General features: G+C 34.6%; 1 protein-coding gene across 56 annotated transcripts in view; it reads left to right on the top strand.

Annotated features, from left to right (window-relative positions):
• MCTP1 (multiple C2 and transmembrane domain containing 1) overlaps nucleotides 1-18,059 on the top strand; it is a 581,405-nt gene that overhangs the window by 406,507 nt on the left and 156,839 nt on the right. For 53 of the 56 annotated variants that reach the window (XM_047417718.1, NM_001393537.1, XM_047417715.1 and 50 more), the window contains 5 exons: nucleotides 5,347-5,449; nucleotides 7,171-7,273; nucleotides 7,615-7,716; nucleotides 8,097-8,171; nucleotides 10,136-10,255. The exons of 1 other annotated variant lie outside the window; for it this stretch is intronic. In XM_047417718.1, coding sequence (XP_047273674.1) covers nucleotides 5,347-5,449; nucleotides 7,171-7,273; nucleotides 7,615-7,716; nucleotides 8,097-8,171; nucleotides 10,136-10,255 — 503 coding nt within the window. Of the gene's footprint in view, nucleotides 1-5,346; nucleotides 5,450-7,170; nucleotides 7,274-7,614; nucleotides 7,717-8,096; nucleotides 8,172-10,135; nucleotides 10,309-11,205; nucleotides 11,445-18,059 lie in introns of those variants that run through there. 2 more of the 56 variants (NM_001393549.1, NM_001393550.1) reach the window with 2 other exon arrangements.

Below are 18,059 nucleotides of genomic sequence, written 5' to 3'. Positions count from 1 at the left end.
ATTTGAAATTGTGTGTCAGTCAGTTTTATTCCAGGATAGTAAAAAGGACATTACAAAATCTTCAATATGAAAAAAAAGTATTAGATCTAGTAGGTTGAAAGCCACAACTCTAGGGTGTCAATTTTCTTGCCATAATGAAATCTGCTTCATGACTCAGTGAGAAAAAAAGAAGTCTTATTATTATTATTCAGTCCCAGAATCAGACCCAGTGGGGACCTAGTTAAAGTGTGAGTTAATATAATTCTACCAATCAGATGTTTAAAATATGTTTAGGTCAGTTGATGGAAAAGGATAAGGCCAAAGCCCCATCTCCAGTGATAAAAGGAGGATGGAAGATGTCTTCAACATATGCTGCTTTCTGTTCTGGTGGACACGATGGAATTCCCTCAACTATAACATTATTATATGTTATGATTGAAATTCCAGTTTCTATAAGGGATAGATGGCAACCTTGATTATATTTTTTAAAGGATTAAAATATAGTTATTTCAAACTGTGGCAACTGAGAAAATTAAATGAAAGAACTTAATTTGTACAAGGTAGGCCCAAAATAAAAGGCCCCCATGGGTATGAATTGCTTTCCATGCTATTGAAAGCCTTCTGTGTTTTCAGACATGGCAACAAAGAGGTGGTCACTGGGTCCCCATACACACACATTTTTATAACACATCACATCCAGCAAACTGTGCTACTTGTCAGCAGCAAAATGACCCTGGACAAAGCCCACCACTGATGGATCAGGATTAACTCTATATTCCGGGAGCAAGAATATCATTCAGTATCTTTTGAGTCACTTTAATGCTCAAACCAGTAGTTTGTACAAACTGAAGTCATCCACTTGCCCACAAAACAGGTAGCAAGTGAGCAGGGGCGGTACAGACTTTCCCACAGTTCTTTATCAATATGTCAGTGTCGTGACCTCAAAGAGCAAGGACTAAGAGTGAGAGAGAATTAGCCAGTCAGTGCACCCCATTTAATCCTTGGTGCCGTTTTGAAGATTGCCAGAAAAGACGCCCATTGGAGACAATTCTGATGTTTGTTTTATTGTTGTAGAAATGGCTTTTCACCCCCAAAAAAGGATTGGGACAATAGAATATATGCTTTAAATTCTGTTATAGATTCTGTTTTATGAGTTAGGGTAAAAGAGTCTCTCAAGTGTTAATTCTCATGGGAGATTTAAAAAAAAACAAAGATCCATAGGAAAAAATAGCCCTTAGTATTTAACTAGATTATGGATAAAAGTATGAGTCTTCATGTAATATTTTTATGTATCTAGTTTATAGTAGTTAGGTAACACATATCTAGGTTTTTGTATTATAGAGACTATTAAAGGAATATACAAATACATTTAAGCAAAATATTCCTCATCGTAAAATGTCAGCCTACTTTTTATGTCATTATCCTTCACTTTTAAAAGCACTGTGATAGAGCTGTACAATCACCATAGATCACCAGAGTCATAGCCACTGGAAAAGTCTTTGCTTCCTTTCCCTCTTTATGTTCTGGAGTTATAGAATAGCATGCCTCCTTCTCCTTGCTCCTGTTGCACCCTTCACTTACCTTTATTACAGCCCTTACAACTCTGCCTCATAATTGTGTATTTACATGTCTATCATGTCCTCTAAACTGTGCATGCCTTGAGAGCTGGACTATGTCTTAATCATACTTATAATTCTGGGGTGAGCAGAGCAGCCACTCGATAAGTAATGAATGCTTCAAAAAGCATTCCTATTTCTCTCTAGAAAATTGTCAACATGGAAAATTGCCGTGTCCTCAAGGAACGCTGATTTCCTTCCTAGCTGTCATGGTGGTTAAAGCAATCAATCCCACAGCCCCTGCCCTCAACCAGCACTGCCACCATTTCTATTTTCTATCCAAACCAAATTCTCCAGTTTCTAGCATTGCTAGGGAGAGGGATTGACTCTTTTTAGCCAAAATAATGGGGCTTCAGGAAGAGCCATTTGATACCCACTGGTCTGCTTTAGTCTTGTGACAAAAATGAGTGAGAGAGAGAAAAATAGATTATATAATCTGTGTTCTCATATATTTAGGCTCTCAAAAATTATCAGAAACAAAATATCCCTCAACTTTGGATGCTGCCTTCATTCTTTGCACTTCTAGCCACACGGTATTGAATAAAAACATTACAGAGGACTTCTTTATACCACTGTCTGGAACTTTGCAGAATATAGTGCACTTTAGAGACATCAACTTCATCCTAGAATCAACCCCACAACCCAGGTACTCCCAGCAAGCAGAGCAGCCTATCAGAGGGCCTAAATGGAATGATAAAAGGATGAAAGGAAGGAATAATTAAGGAGATAATTAATGGTTAGGTCCATCACTAGTATTTCTCTGATTGGTTTTGTTTGTTTAAGTGGCAGATAATCAAAGCTGTAAAATTTAGGTCTGAAAAGCCAGTCATTTAAAGGATTATTTAGCAAACCAGATAAGCATATTAACTATGTGTAGTCACTTTTTAAAAATACAACTATAGTCCATGCTTTTTAGTGGTAAGTTTGCAGAATTTGATGTTGTACATTTACTAGTATTTTGGTTGAAATTGCTGTTAATTTTTAATTGCCCTTGAATCATGCAGTGACAGGAGGATACTTCCTAAATAAGTCAAACATAACATAGTGTGGAAAGACCTGATGTTAGCATCCATTAATGATAACTGTAAAAAGAGAACTTTTTAAAAGGAAAAGATGAATAGAAAAGTAAACATAAAATTGCCTGCTTTCTCCTTAACCTAAACTTTCCTCTTTGTCAGATTCTAGAAATATCTAGTCTGAGCACCTTGTTGAATGCTTATTCTCCTTGGAAAAAAAAAAAAAAGAACTGACTTGGCTAAGCTCAGTGAATTGTTTTTCAGCGTCAAATAATAATATGAGGGTATATTAGGTGATTAAATATTGACATCTGCAAATCCTGTTGATTTTCCCTTCAAAATATATCCAGAATCTAACCACGTTCCACCACCTAGATTATTGCAATTGCCTCCTAACTCTTCTTCCTACCCCTCCATTGTCCTTTCTCTACCTTATTTTCCAAATAGCAGCCATCAGAGCATGTCACTCCTCAAATCAAATCCCTCAAAACCTCCCCCATTAATGAGAGTTAAAGCCAAGTTTTTTCAGAGACCTGCCACTATCTCCAGACCTGTCTGTGTCACCTACTACCACCCCTCCAACCCCCCACCTGTCCAATCTCCCCAGAACATTCCTCCAGCCACACCGGCTTCCTGGATATTCCTGGAAATGCCTGGCACAGCCACTTCTCTGGTCTTTCCACTGTCGGTTCCTCTGGGTCACCCAAGACTCACCTCCTTCATTTCTTTGCCTGCATGTCACTGTCTTAGCACGACTTTCTCTGCAGCCCTTTTAAAAACTGCATATACATACCAACACTCCCTTTTACCTTTCCCATCTTTGTTTTTTCCCATAGTATTTATCACCTTCTAAGATACTATAAAATGTATTTCTTGTCTGTCTTCTTCTTCAATGTAAACTCCATGAAGTCAGGGATTTTTAAAAAATTGTTTAATTCACTGCTGTTTCCCCAACAAATAGAACACTGCCTGCTACATGGTAAGTAATAAATATTTGTTAGTTGATTGAACCGACAGTCAAAACATTACCCAGCATTTCCTATGCGTGTGACCTACTACCTACCTAAGATGTGGCACGCTTATATTGAAAGGTGTTGCCTAGTATCTTACATTTAACTCTATTTGGAAAACTATTTGAATCTGCCTGTTTATGCTTATATCTGAATTCCGTGGGAGAAAATAAAGTTGTTGATGTGCCACATAAAACCTATTGCTACGTGTTTTAATGAACAAAATATTCTTTTTTGAACACTATCTTCCATGGGGTGTGTGAGTTGAAAGTGAGGGTGGTAACATGTAGGCAAGAGGATAAAGACGATTGGAGGAAAAAAAGATAATACAGATCCTAAGCCAGAAGTACAATTTTCACCAGACCTTTAAGACTTCCAGTTCTCTATTCTTTATTTAAAATTGTTCCCAAGACCCAAAATTGAGAAGACTACCATGATGTTAAATTATGCAGTTATCCTGGGACATATAAGGCCACTGAACTAACACACACATATTAAATCTCTTTTTTAATATAAAGTTAATAAATTAAAGGTGAGTCAAAGTTTGTACAGCTCATTTTAAGAATTGCAATATGGAAAGTAAATACACTGCTGTATGGGAATACATAGCTTATCTGTCACTGATAGCTAATGAATTCCTTCCCATTAAAATTTAATAGAAAATCTTCAATGATATTTAAGCTTTTGCAGAAGTGTAAACTACTGTGACTACAATTCACAATGCATTTAAAACAATTATTCTTTATCATTAAAGTTAATAATATGCACATTAACCTCTTATGTAGTCTAAATCAATATTGTAGTTTAAAAGATATGACCTCTGGACAGCTTTGTCTAAATATTGATTTCATTGTCATTTGTATAAGGTATCAAACAAATTACATGCTGCACTAATATCATTAATGCTGGCCCCATAGAGCCTCTGACTTTATGGGTTCTTATAATACAGGGCATAACATTACAAAAATATTAAGGACTTCACAAAATGTAATTGCCGAAAGGATGAGATTTGAGTATGGCAGGACAGAGTTGTTATAAACAGATGATAATTTCTAAACCCTTTATTTTCAGTGAATAGAAAAAAAAAAAATACTGCTCTTTAACATGCATATTGGTTGTTGATGTTTAGTTTCAAATGGTAGATTTTTTTTCTGCCTCAGAGGGTCTAATTTACCTTCTTGTGATGTCATAGATATCTCAGAAGAAAGTAACTCAATCTTAGTCCAATTAAAATATTATAATTTTGCAATATAGTAGTTTTTCCTGAATAAATTTGATTAGAAATCCCTGTTACAAGTTAATAGTGAATCAGATGAGTTGAAAAAATATATGCCTTAGAGTGAAGGGGCTGAACTTTTCAAACGGCTCTTACAGATTTCTATAAAAACTGATTTAGGGATGGACATGCATCACATTCTCCATCATAATTGCCGGTTATAGAATTATTTTTGCTTTAAAAAATTGCAAATTGAAGTGCCAGCTATATAATTTTGTCTCTTTTACTTTTTTCAGGCTCTAAATTGCTATGAATCATAACAATTGCTAACATCAACCAGTTACATCTAACTCTATTTTGATGGTGGTTTCTTTTTTTAATTTTTAAAATTGTACTTCACTTTTTTGTTTACTATAAAACTTTTTGCAAAAGAGATATGGTCATGATCTTGACACTGTGAACTGTGGGTGCTATGTACACTAAAAATATTTACCAAAAATCTCTTGTAGGAAAAAGTGACCCATTTTGTGTGGTAGAACTGAACAACGATAGACTGCTAACACATACTGTCTACAAAAATCTCAATCCTGAGTGGAATAAAGTCTTCACGTTGTAAGTAGGCATTTCTTTGGGCTCTGAATCCAAAATTGTGTTAAATTTGATTTATTTTTGAGGGTTTTAAAAAAAATGTGTGTGTTTATTCTTAACTGATTCACAACTCAATGCATCTGGCCTGCCTTTGCTAACAACAATGAATTTTCCTCCTACCTTCCTGAAAGTGAAACCTGGGGGAAAGGGTATGGCATTTTTCTTTGTTTTCACAGACATTTTTTGAAACTGTGCTTTTTATATGATTTGGCTAAGGATTTTGCTTCCATTAACTGAATCACCATACCGCTTCTTCCTTTTATACTTTCTATTGAAATTCTTTCCAATTGCATTGACACCAAGGAAGACAAAGCTCTATTTGTTCCATTGCTGAAATCAGCAAACAATCCAGTCTCGAATTCGGCAGATGCTTTAGTTTTGGTTCTTTTCATTTTAGCACAATGAGAATATTAAGTATTGTCCTAGATACCAAAATACCCTATGAGTTAATTTTCCTTTTGTTTTAGAAAGTTTGTAAACCTTTTCAGTCATACACTGTAAAAGCTGCCAATGCTACACTATAGTAACTCCTAAGTTCGGTTTTTTAAACAGGGCTTTTGAAATGAACTCTGAACAAAGGAAAATTCTCCAAACAGAAGTACTTCTTTAAAGTTTTCTAACATAATTCTATTTTTTTGTATATGAAAAACTGCGAAATTCTTCATCAATTTATTATGTCTCTGCTTAAGAACCGGTAACTAATCAGCTTTAACTGTCTGGCCAATTTATTTTTAAGGAATTCCACATTTTTATAAGAGATAAAAGCCTGGTCAGGAGACTTGTACTCCTAAGAAGATTGCGGAGAGTGTTTTTCTCCAGAATGCGTAACTGAATGAATAGGTTTGATTATTATCAAAGCCATTAATTGATTGTGCCCTGATAAAGCCTCTCCTCACATATGGTTGCAATTTTTTCAGTAATGAATATATTCACTTTATTGTTTTCTCTTAATTCATGTTTTCTTGGTAAACAGTTTGATCAAAGAATAAATGCTGTCAACAATTTGCACTTATTTTCCAGAAATAAAAATATGAAGAGCTCACGCAGTCGTTTATTAACATATGTTGTCTTTGGAACATAATGGAACCCTGCTTAATTTCTAAATTCCAGGGTGGTACAATAACTATATGTTACATTTTCTCCATTCTGTTTTCTGTGCTTGTTAATTTTTACTATAAATCTAACAGAAACTACGTCGATGATCTAGTGAGAGCTATAAACAAACAGGAGATGTCCTATTATTATAAAAAAGAGTAATTACATAAAATATACTGTAACTTTTGCTGATATCAAACCTGGTGGTGTTTTATGTAGGGATAATGGGAAGGTATGAATTGTGATAATTAGAAGAAGGGAAAGTCTAAAAACCACCAGTGCTACTTCTTGATTTTTTAAATAACTTATTCTGTGCCCATTCAGATGGGAAATTATATTTCATTAAAAAATGATAACTTGAAATTACAAGGTGTTTAAAGTTACAGATAATAGAACCATCACTATAGTTGACTTAGGTGCATTATGGGAAATTCTGTCAGATACCAAGCTACCTTGTATATGTGTGTATGCAAATAGCATGCTTACAAACACACACAAAATCAGCTGGAGCTATCTAAATTTTCAAAACTATTCTTGTTGTTGTTTCCTACTGATGAAATCTTTTTTTCTTACATATATTTATTATGCAGCAACATTAAAGATATCCATTCAGTTCTTGAAGTGACAGTTTATGATGAAGATCGGGATCGAAGTGCTGACTTTCTGGGCAAAGTTGCTATACCATTGCTGTCTGTAAGTTTTATTCACCTGACACACTGTTCTGTGTTGCTTTTGCTCACGGAAAAAAAAAAAAAGAAAAGAAAACTCTCAGCTCTGTGTCTGTCATTTCTCAACCAAGGTCTGTAATAAGAACACTAAAAATTTTAACATACTCAATTCACGGCCATGTTGAATCCCATGATAGTTAATTTTTCCTGACAGACTTGATCCTGGTAATGAACAGGTACTTGTCAGAATTGCCACAGTTGTTTTGGGTTCTCTGTCAGTTTCAGCAGCTGGGGGTCAAAGGTCACTGAGGGAGTGTATTCAGTAGAGACCGCGAGACAGACGGCTGTCATGTCCTTTTCCCGCAGATTCAAAATGGTGAACAGAAAGCCTACGTCTTGAAAAACAAGCAGCTGACAGGGCCAACAAAGGGGGTCATCTATCTTGAAATAGATGTGATTTTTAATGCTGTAAGTCTTAACTTTGGCTTTTTTGTACTGCTAAAGAGTTCAGTTTCATGAAAGCTTTTGTTCCTGATTTGTAGAGAATTTCTGTCATTCCTCATTTTCTCTAAACCTTCATGTGTCCTGGAGAATACGCTTCTGCCACTGCCTGGCACACCCACACTTTCTGTTATAGTTGGCGAATGCTGCTGCGGTTGTGTTCTGGCCGCTGTCTACCGGCATAAGAAAGGGAAGCGCATGCATGTGCAACTGTATACATTTATATTTTATGAGCACAGCAGCCAGGACTTTGAAACTTTAGAAATTATTGCAAATTGAACTGCGTGAAAAACTTGTAAACATTTGTAATATATTAATCCATAACAGACACATATGTTGATGTATAGGTGAAAGCCAGCTTACGAACATTAATACCCAAAGAACAGAAGTACATTGAAGAGGAAAACAGACTCTCTAAACAGGTAAAAAGCAAGAAAAGATTAATCCCTCTGGGAAGACCTGATTATATCTGTAAAACATCTAAGTAAATTCAAATAAACTTTAAAGGTATGGAGGGGGGAAGACTGGAATTTTTGATCATCTACTTATTGAAAATGGCGCTTTCTTTCATTCTTTCTGATTCTTTCTTCCTTCCTTTCTTTAAAAGATCAAACGAGGACAATACCAAACTAATAAATTGGATGGGGGTGGTCAGAAAGGAAAGGGGATACTGTAGGTGATGCATATAATGGATATGTATTCATGCATTAGCAAAAGAATGATCATTTTGAACATAAAATGCAATTTGATTGCCATGGAATGTGTAAATGAGAACACCAAAAGCTGAGGTACAAATATATGTCCAGACCACCCACAGGTATGATGCAGGTGTGTGTAAAGCGAGCCCAGTATAAGCTCTTCCCTCTAATCCAGATGCGAGGAGGCTCCATCTTCTAAGGGAAACCTTCCTGCTAATTAGATTTTAACTATGATCTTTCAGAAGTAAACTTTTATTATTTTTAGCTAAGAAAGTTAGAATCAGGAAATATGATTTTTCTATCATGAAGGGAATTTAAATTGAGCGTGATATCTATTGCTTATAATTTTAAATTAGGCTTAATATTAAGTTTTTAAAAAGTGCTAAACCACCCCTTTTAAAAACGTTTACATCTGATTCACAGAACTAAACTAAAATGTATTTGTTACAGCTAAAATGTTTACTGAACATATTTATGCCTTGAAATATTTAATAATTTTTGTAATATTAGAAGCCTAAATATATTTTTACTCTTAATAAATCCAGCAAAACAATGGAGTATTTGGTGGTTTAAAGGAAGTGTGTGAGTTACAAATGCAATATCTAAGTAGAAATGTAAATAACATTTCACCACAATTATACATAAAAGTAATAAAAGTAGTTCTTAATGTAAGGTGATAGGGGCAAAGAAGGAAAACTAAGAGATAGACTCTACTTTGCCAGCAAGGAATTTCAATTTTAGCCACTTGTTAAAACTGGCATGCACATACATGTATGTATATTTGCCCATATATATATTTTTTCCATATGACCTCAGTAAACTTTACATAGCTACTTCCTTAAAATATCAGATCAGCGTTGAAGTATATTGGGAGTAGCAAAATGTTAACTTGCAGACATATAATTATTCTAATTATTAATATAGCTGTGGTAATTTTTCGAACCATCAAATTATACATGGGCTATTCTTTTTTACAGTTGTAGTCATGCCTTAATTTTAAATTTTAATTTCTAATTATATCAATTTTCCTATACTCGTTTTAATAAGAAATTTTGTAAAGCACTCGGTTACCATATATTTTTCCCTACTTCCAAAACTATGAAAAAATAATGAGAAAATATAGGTTAAATTTATTGTGAGAGAGATACAGATATAGATAGATAGAAGATAGATAGATAGATAGATAATATGATAGTAAGAATGGGAGGAATTCTACTAAAATGGTGAAGACATTTTGTTGTCTATAAAAAAGCAATTCTGGATAGGTTTTTCTATAAGACCCTAAATAAAAACATTCCAACTTCACTTTGAAATGTCTTGAAATTAAACCATTTGATCAATCTTAAAACCACAATAAGGTTTAAGAGTTTAAAATTAATAAAGGTGCATAGTATGTAAGTAACAAAAAAAAATTTTAGTCTGTTAGAAATTTTTTTTTCTTGTGAGCAAAGGTAGTCCAACCTACATGTTAACATTATTTTAAAAATTGTATTTAGTTAAAAAGGCAGTTCTTTCCACTTTCTCAGAAATAAATTCTTTAACTTGTGAGCCAAATTGTTTGGTATTTTCTTGTAACTTTATTAACTTTCTGAATCCTTTTTAAGTCACAATAAGCTTGAAGAATTTTGCAGTATATCTGATGGTTTTTAGTCTTGCAAATTATAATAATATTTTCATTTTCCTTACAGCTGCTACTAAGAAACTTTATCAGAATGAAACGTTGTGTCATGGTGCTGGTAAATGCTGCATACTACGTTAATAGTTGCTTTGATTGGGATTCACCCCCAAGGAGTCTCGCTGCTTTTGTGGTATGATCATACTGTATTACTTACATTGTTATTCATTAAATTCAGTAATCATAGCTGCATGTTTCTGTGGCTATAGTAACAGTTATGTTGATGTGGCCATTTTAAAACTCCTATTTTAAGACTTGACTGGACAGATTTGCCGTGGGCAGGAACCTGATGGATTGTACAAGGTCTGAGTCTAAGAATACATTTTCCCCCCTCAGATTTCCGGAACGCAAGACATCTCAGCCAATGTATCATTTTCTCTGTGACAGTTAAAAAGTAAAATTTTACATATTGCATAATTCCAAACCCCAATAGGACAGCCAAGAAAAGTCCTCCATGTGAAAAATAATAATAGTAATAATCTCGACCATTCTCAATTTGATTTTATCTGTCCTATAGTTAATTTTTTTCAAGATATGAAAATCATTGGTAGTAGAATGCTACCAATGCTACTTGGTAATGCTTTAACATGTGATTCAACTGGAAGTGGATGTGACCTATTTAAGAGATGTTTTATTATTTCTGAGATTTCTAGCTTTTAAAAGTCACAAGTGAGAATTCGATAGATCCAAAGAGTCCTTTAATATGTTCATCTTGTGGCCTTTTACTTTGATTATTTAAAAACTTCTGATGAGACCAACTGGCAGAGCTAGAAAATCCAAAAGAATACTTTGCTCTGAGCTTTAGCTGGGATTTTCTTCTCTCACATTATTTTGGCTTTTTCAGGATTTCAGTTTGAAGTTTAAGTAGAGTCATTCTTTTGAAATCCTTTATTTTATTTTCATGTTTGTTCAAATATGAGTACCTTATGCTTCCTTATAGTTGCCAGTTTAGCAGAATACGACTTTATTATGGGGGCTTACAAGAAGAGCCTTAATTATAGTAACAAATCAACATTTTAGTATTACCATTCAAATGAGTGTATGCACATCTGTTTAGTACTTTGAGCTCTGTCTTCCTCTCAGGCCTTGTATGGGACTTTCATTAATGTCTGAGCACATGGAACAAAGAGTGTCTACGTCCCTTTGTGTTGTAAGTTACCAGAAAGTTAGGCAGCCTGCTTCCCATAGACGTGTTGTTGTCTCCCTAAAGAAAGCAATTGTCATTATCGTTAAGTTTTAGAAAAAAAATCTCTCTCTCTCTGTCTCTCTCAGTATTCTTTTTGTAGCTCTTTCTTATAATAAATATATGGTGGTACTATTAAGCAAACTTTATTCTGATTTTTCCCTAGCCAGGAGGTACTTTTACATTGATGAGAAAAAATGATACTGAGCTTCTATGTCTATTTTAGACTATTACTTCCAGGTTTTATGGGGTCATATAACAGATGCAAAAAAAAATTGTCCTGTAAAGATCGTGCTGCCATTTTTGATTCACTCCTTCCAAAATCATTCCTCACAGCTATTTGTAAAATTTGAAAAGACCAGAAATGCATATAATTGTATTATTTGTTCAGCAACATTCATTTTGAACACTTTAGCATTTACGTGTATTGTGTAAGTCTTCATAAACTTCTGACTTCTGGAGGTCACTCGCGTAAAATGAAATTCAAGATGGCAGCCTTTTTTTTGCAATTTCCTTTTGATTCTAAAAAAAAAAAACTCAGGCACTGGAATTCTGAACAACTTAGGTACATTTACATGATATTACTTGAGTGATTTGACTGTAAGACTGTAAGGGGGTCAAATTTCACTGGAGAAGAAATGTAATAATAGTTCTCTTAGCTGGTAGTCAGTGTCTGATGGATTCAGTCCTGTGAAACACAAGCTGAATGCAAGAGGCTTGCAAAAAAAAAAAAAAAGAGGGAATCAGGCATAGTAAAGGTGGGAAGGGGCCTGCTGACACGGATGGTGAAAAAAGAGAACACAAACTACAATGTGAAAACAGAGTAAGAGTACTTTGGAGAAGAACCCATAATATTACCTGTGTTTCGCTGGAAAAAAGAAGCTCTGAATCACATTCTGTTGAATGTGATTAAAACAACTAATAACAAAATCAAATGTCATTTATTAGACCTGCACTGGGAGTTCTATAAGAATGGGAACCCTGCCTTTTTAGCCTAGTACTCCAGCTTCATCTGCACAGTATCTAGCACTTAGTAAGCTCCCAGTATAAATAGCTGACAGAATCAGTTGACCAATCTATGAACCAATCAGTTAATCTGAAATTTTTTCTTATGTGGAGAAACTCATTCTTCAATGATGCCAGATAAATAAGGGTTTGCTCTAAGGAAGCTAGTTATTAAATCATGATAAACATAGCTTAGTACTATTGTAGCAAATTTTCCTGGCGTTTCCATTTATATTCTAAACTACTTCATAATTCCTTATCAATCATTGATTCTAACCTCTGATTAAGTTCTAATATAAAAATATCCTTCCACAATAATGACAAAAACAACCACTAATATTTGTTAAGCACTTACTATGTGTCAAGGAACTGTTTTACATGCATTAGCGAATTTCATATTCCCAACAACCTTATGAAGTAGATAGTGTTAGTTTTCCAATATACAGAAGGAAGAAACTGAGGCACAGAAAGGTTAAGTAGCTTGCCCAAGGCCACACAGCAGATATTATTTCCTTTCTAAAAGAGCTTTTAAAATACATATACCTTGTAATTTTAATATCACAGCAGCTCTGAACAAAAACTACTTGGGATATTTATTCATCTTGTAGATATTAAGTTATATATTTAAAAATGAAATGTTTCAAAGATTTCATTGTATAACTAGAGACATTTTAGCCCTGTTTATTGAAAAGAACAGCTTTCCATTAGGAGAAGGGTGTGAGCAGTATCCCATTATTACAAACACATTGTTCCCATCATGCCCTGTTGATGGATCATGGGTCTATTATCATAATATCGGTTCTACTTGGCCCACTTTTTTATAAATGCCACTGCCTCACAGAGCACAGGCATTTCTATCATTATGTGGCTTGGTTTTAGGCCCAAGTCAGTAAACTTTATAATGTTTAAGTGCCTTTTTTCTATTCTATTTTAACTTTTCTTTTCTACTTTACTATCCAAAAATAAATGTAGAATAATGAAATAAAAGTAAAAAACAATCTTTTTTTTTTCTTAATCCCTATGTCAATTGAAGTAGAGAGCACAAGAAATGCAGGCTTAGGACAGCTCCAGCTTCCTTAACGCTACCTCTGTGCCACAGGGAAGAGTCAAAGCCAGCTGATGATATTAGAGACAGGCATTGGTCTGGAAGGTGATGGATAAAATATAAGCAGATACGTTTCTGGGCGTGTGCTTATTTTGTGTGCAATGCATTCGGTTTTAAAATTTTACTGTGAATATTGTCTGCCTAAGAATGAACACAGACATGTGTGGTGCAGAAGGCACTGCTCGTCTTGGGGAATCATCTATTGTAGACATGGAAATGTCTCATAAATTGGGCCTAATTTTCATCAGGCTCTTGACTAGACATTTGTGTTCTTGTGGATGTCAGTGGGTGCAACATGGGGGAAGAAAGAGTGCACATTTTCTCTTTCTTTTCAGTACTGTCATTTCTCACTGTAATGAGCACAAAAATAATTGGACAACTGAGCTATCAGTAAAAGGACACACTTCAGTGTGCGTCAAAGAATTATTTTACAGGACAAACTTTAATCTTTAAATGTGATTGTAGATAATTTGTGGTACCATCTGTCCATTTGGAATTGTTTTAGCCTTTTCTGTCGTTATACAGTAAGTGCTGCTGTGTTTAACATTAACATTTGATATTTTACACATTTAATTTCTGTTCTGCTGTGTAGTCCTTGGGGAACGGAGCGCTAGTGCTACATGAGAGAGACAAAGTATTGATCAGTTAACATTTCAGCTACATTTATGTATGTCGCAAAATTAATGAAAATGCCAGACAAAAATGTCAGAGTGCACAAAAAGGTAGAATTTAAATTTGGTACTTTAATGAAACATCTTAAGATGTGCATTATCAAAAATGTCCTCTTGCCTTTAAAGTACAATTCCTAACAGAATAACTAAAGGGAGATACATATTTTACTTAGAGGAACAATGAACATGAATTATGAAGGGATGTCAACTCCTCAAAGTACCTTGTGTTCCAAAAACGGCATGTTTGAATGTTTAACTGTTAGTCATAAAATACATTTCTTTCTGTTCATATCTGGAGGGCTACTGGCTTCAGCCCTCTGTCCTGAGCAGCCTACGAGGCAGGTTTCCTACTGAGATTCTCTCCCTAGGTTTTCCTTGGTATTCATGTGTTCCTTTTGTGTCAAAACCAAGAATTCCTTCTATGGCAATTCATCGAAGCCACTCTGGTTCATTATTTGTTTTTTTCTGGGTCCTTTTGAAATGCCTAGTTTTCCTTTGCTTCCAGATAATTTGTGCTCCACCTTTATTCAATCCCTATTTTAGTAAAGGATCATATTCGGGACAACAGTTACTCCCAGAAAGCTGGGCCATTATGCAGAAGAGAGAAAAAACAAAGATGTTGTATGCAAAGAATGACATGAGGCAGCTCTGTATAGCCAAATGATTAAAAAAAAAAAAGTGGAGGAAGCACAGCAAAGGAGGAGGAACTGGAGTTGCAGAGGCAATGGGAATGTAATAATGACCAAAGACAATAGGCTCCTACAGTACACTTATCATGTACTTCCTTCTCGTGCAGAAAGTCTGCTGCTATTAAACAACATATGGATTTTTAAAAAGTTATTACAAACCGTAAGGACATCTAAAGTGTCTTTCGTGATCAAGGATCAAAAAGGGAGAATTGCTTAAGAAGAAGTATCAATGTGAAAACAAAGGCATGTCTACATCACCTGTAGTTTAAGTCTTAATATTCACATTAAGGCACAATGAAATGTAGGATAATTACATTGAACATATTGAAGGTCACTTTAAGTTTATAACAGAAATATCTATTCTGAAAATTTAAGAGACAATAGTACTACCACAGCAATGAAATTACGCTTCAAGTCTATGGCAATTTTCAAATGATTTTTATAGAAGAGTTTTTGTTGTTATTGCTACAATTTTTTTTTAGCGCTAGCAGAAACGTTAGAAATGTTCTAGATGTAACTTTTGTTACTTTCTACACAACAGCAAAAGAGAAGTACTCCTGAAAACCAGAGAAACAAGTACAAAGCCAAAATGATCTACAATTGGTGGTCTTACTGTCATATTCATGAATTTCCCTAAAATTTTGTAAATATAAACTCCTAAGCCTTTTTGCCCATCTTTCTTCATGTATGTTTCCTCTGACATACACACCTACTAAGCTTACTAAACAATACTTCCAATTTAATCTATACAGATTTAGAAGCTACGTTAAACATTTTCTCACAAATGTGCAAGTAAGGGAAGAAGAAAACCTATATAAAATTTCACTGATTTAAAAGATATATATTTTTAAGGTTGCCCTAACTTCCTTTTGCAGAGTCAAGAAGTATTGACACTTAGAAGTTTCTCGTACCACAATTTTCTTTTCAGTAAATAGATTGTGCACCCAATTCATCTGGACATGCTAGTACATCAAATTGCTACTCAAAATATACATTTTCGCCCAATTTATCTCAACTCCGGAGAAGAAATTTTTTTCAAACATTGTCCAAAATTACATGAAAAATTGTAAATTAGGTTTTCCTAAGCATTGCCTTTCATAGTGCATTACATATAAATTCCTGCAATTATATAAAAGGCCCCCAAAGAGTATAAGGTACAAATGAGCTGGGTTTCAGGTTTGGTCACTATTGGCTAAAATCAACCCTGAATCTTAGGAAATATAGCAAGCCAGATAATAACAGAACCAAATATTTTCTGTAATCTTTCCTGAGGAGTGAGGCTCTAGTTCAGTTTGTGGGCCTATTTAATTGTGAAGTTATTTTTGTTTTGTTTTTGTATCTGCTAAGTCCACAGTGCAACACTTGGCTCAAATCAGTGCTTCATTCTCTTTAAATGATGCCAATGCCCTTTTTTGTTTATTTTAATAGATGTCAGCAAAAGGGCTTTCTGCTCTTTGGAGGGAGATAATCACATAAGCCACAGGGTCTGCTACTCTCTGAAAGGCGTATTTCTCCTAGATTTTATTTCATATTTACAAGAAGAAGAATTTAATCCCTGTAGAGGTCATTTTCTCATGAAATGAGGAAACTCATGTTTCCTATGATCGCTGCTCTTCCGCCTTTGTCCTGTAACGTGGAAAGTAGTAGAATGCTATAATTTTGAAAACTTTTCTTCTGTGAGTGATTTGAGGAAAAGAAAATGATTTCATTTTTTCTCAGGTATAGTGCTATTATGCTATGCTATAGTCAAAAAATTACAAATATCACCAGCATAATTATGATACCATATTGAATCTAAGAATTAGCTTTCTCATGTGCCTCAATGGTGCTATCAATAAAAGTTGGCGTGGTGGAGGACACCAAAGCCTCGGTGTGTTTTTCCTGGCTGTATGGATGCTGCCCCACTTCACTTCAAGCTTCCTCCTTGCATTACTTATCTGGTAGTTTCAGCCCCCCAGACCTTTATAAGACCCTTTAAAAATTGTTACATGGTCAATATTTTACAACTGAGTTGACTAAGGATCAAAAAATTATTAAATAATGAATCAGAGATGTCTCACTACCTGTTCCCAGATTCCTAAACCAATGTTCTTGTCTTCTGAAGGATTTTCTACTTTGCAATTGTGATTTCAATCGTAAAGGACAGACATGCTGAGCAAATTGGCAAGCCATATTCCATTGCAACATATTATGAAATAAAGTACTTTGCAAAGGAAAAAGTTTAAATAAATGATCTAATTATATAATTTATGTTAGTAAAATGTTGTAAAGTAGGAATAATAACTCTTCTGAAGGGTTGTAAATTATAACAGAGATTCAGTCATTAATATGCTTTAGTCATTAAGTTCACTCTCCATGTGTTTTCATTCCCCGTTCTATCAGGTAAAAATTAAGAAATAGGAGCAGAATGCTTTCTGTTGTCCAATTTTCCTGTGTTGACTAGATGTGCAGATATTCGTTACAATTATGAATGTGTTCGTTAATTTACCAAGCAAGAAGCTAACCTGAAATGTTAAGGAAGTTGTTCCCATTTTACTTTGCCCCTTCTCTTGCCATCATTTATCACATTTTAAATTGTAGTGAGAATTGGGATAGACACAGCAGGCTTTGCTACAGGTGGGTCTGTGAGTGATGACTCTGGTGCATCTTGTACTTTGCCGTGATGACAGAGGTCCAACACTCAGCAAGTGGTAACACTGAGAGATCAATAACAGAGTAGTCATCAGCTATTGGCTCAAATAGCTGAAATAACGAAGAGAAAATCAGAGAAAACTAAGAGGCAAGGAAAGACAGAAAGCATATCAAAGTGCAAATAGATATTTGGATTTGATAAATCAAAGTCAGCTCTCATTTTAAGGACAGGAATAAAATATTTTAGAGACAAAGTGTGGCCTTTATTTGATCTTAAATCAGTGTTTCTCTATATTTTTTTTTTCATAGTCACTGCCCTAAGGAGAAAAATTTCACTTGAGAGAAATTAAATACTAAGGGATAAGATTTTCTCAGGGGATATTGAGCTTTAGAGGGCCACAAACATCTAAGATTTCTGTTGCTTCCCCCCCGCCCCAGCTCAAGAACCAGTTTTTACCCCCTTGGATGTCACATTGACCCCACTGTGAATGCATGCTCCAAATGAGGGTTAATACAAGTTCAACTACATTTACTTTTATACTCTTGGTGGTAAAGTTTAGTTTGGATTTTCTGTAGTTCGCATATGATATGAATTATTCCCATACGGAACTTGTCTGGAGAAAGAGCATTTGTGATCTTTATGCAAAATTATT

This window comes from Homo sapiens, chromosome 5, assembly GCF_000001405.40.
Source record: "Homo sapiens chromosome 5, GRCh38.p14 Primary Assembly".
NCBI lineage: Eukaryota > Metazoa > Chordata > Mammalia > Primates > Hominidae > Homo > Homo sapiens.
Note: the sequence above shows the minus strand (reverse complement) of the source record. Positions and strands in the feature narration are given on the sequence as shown.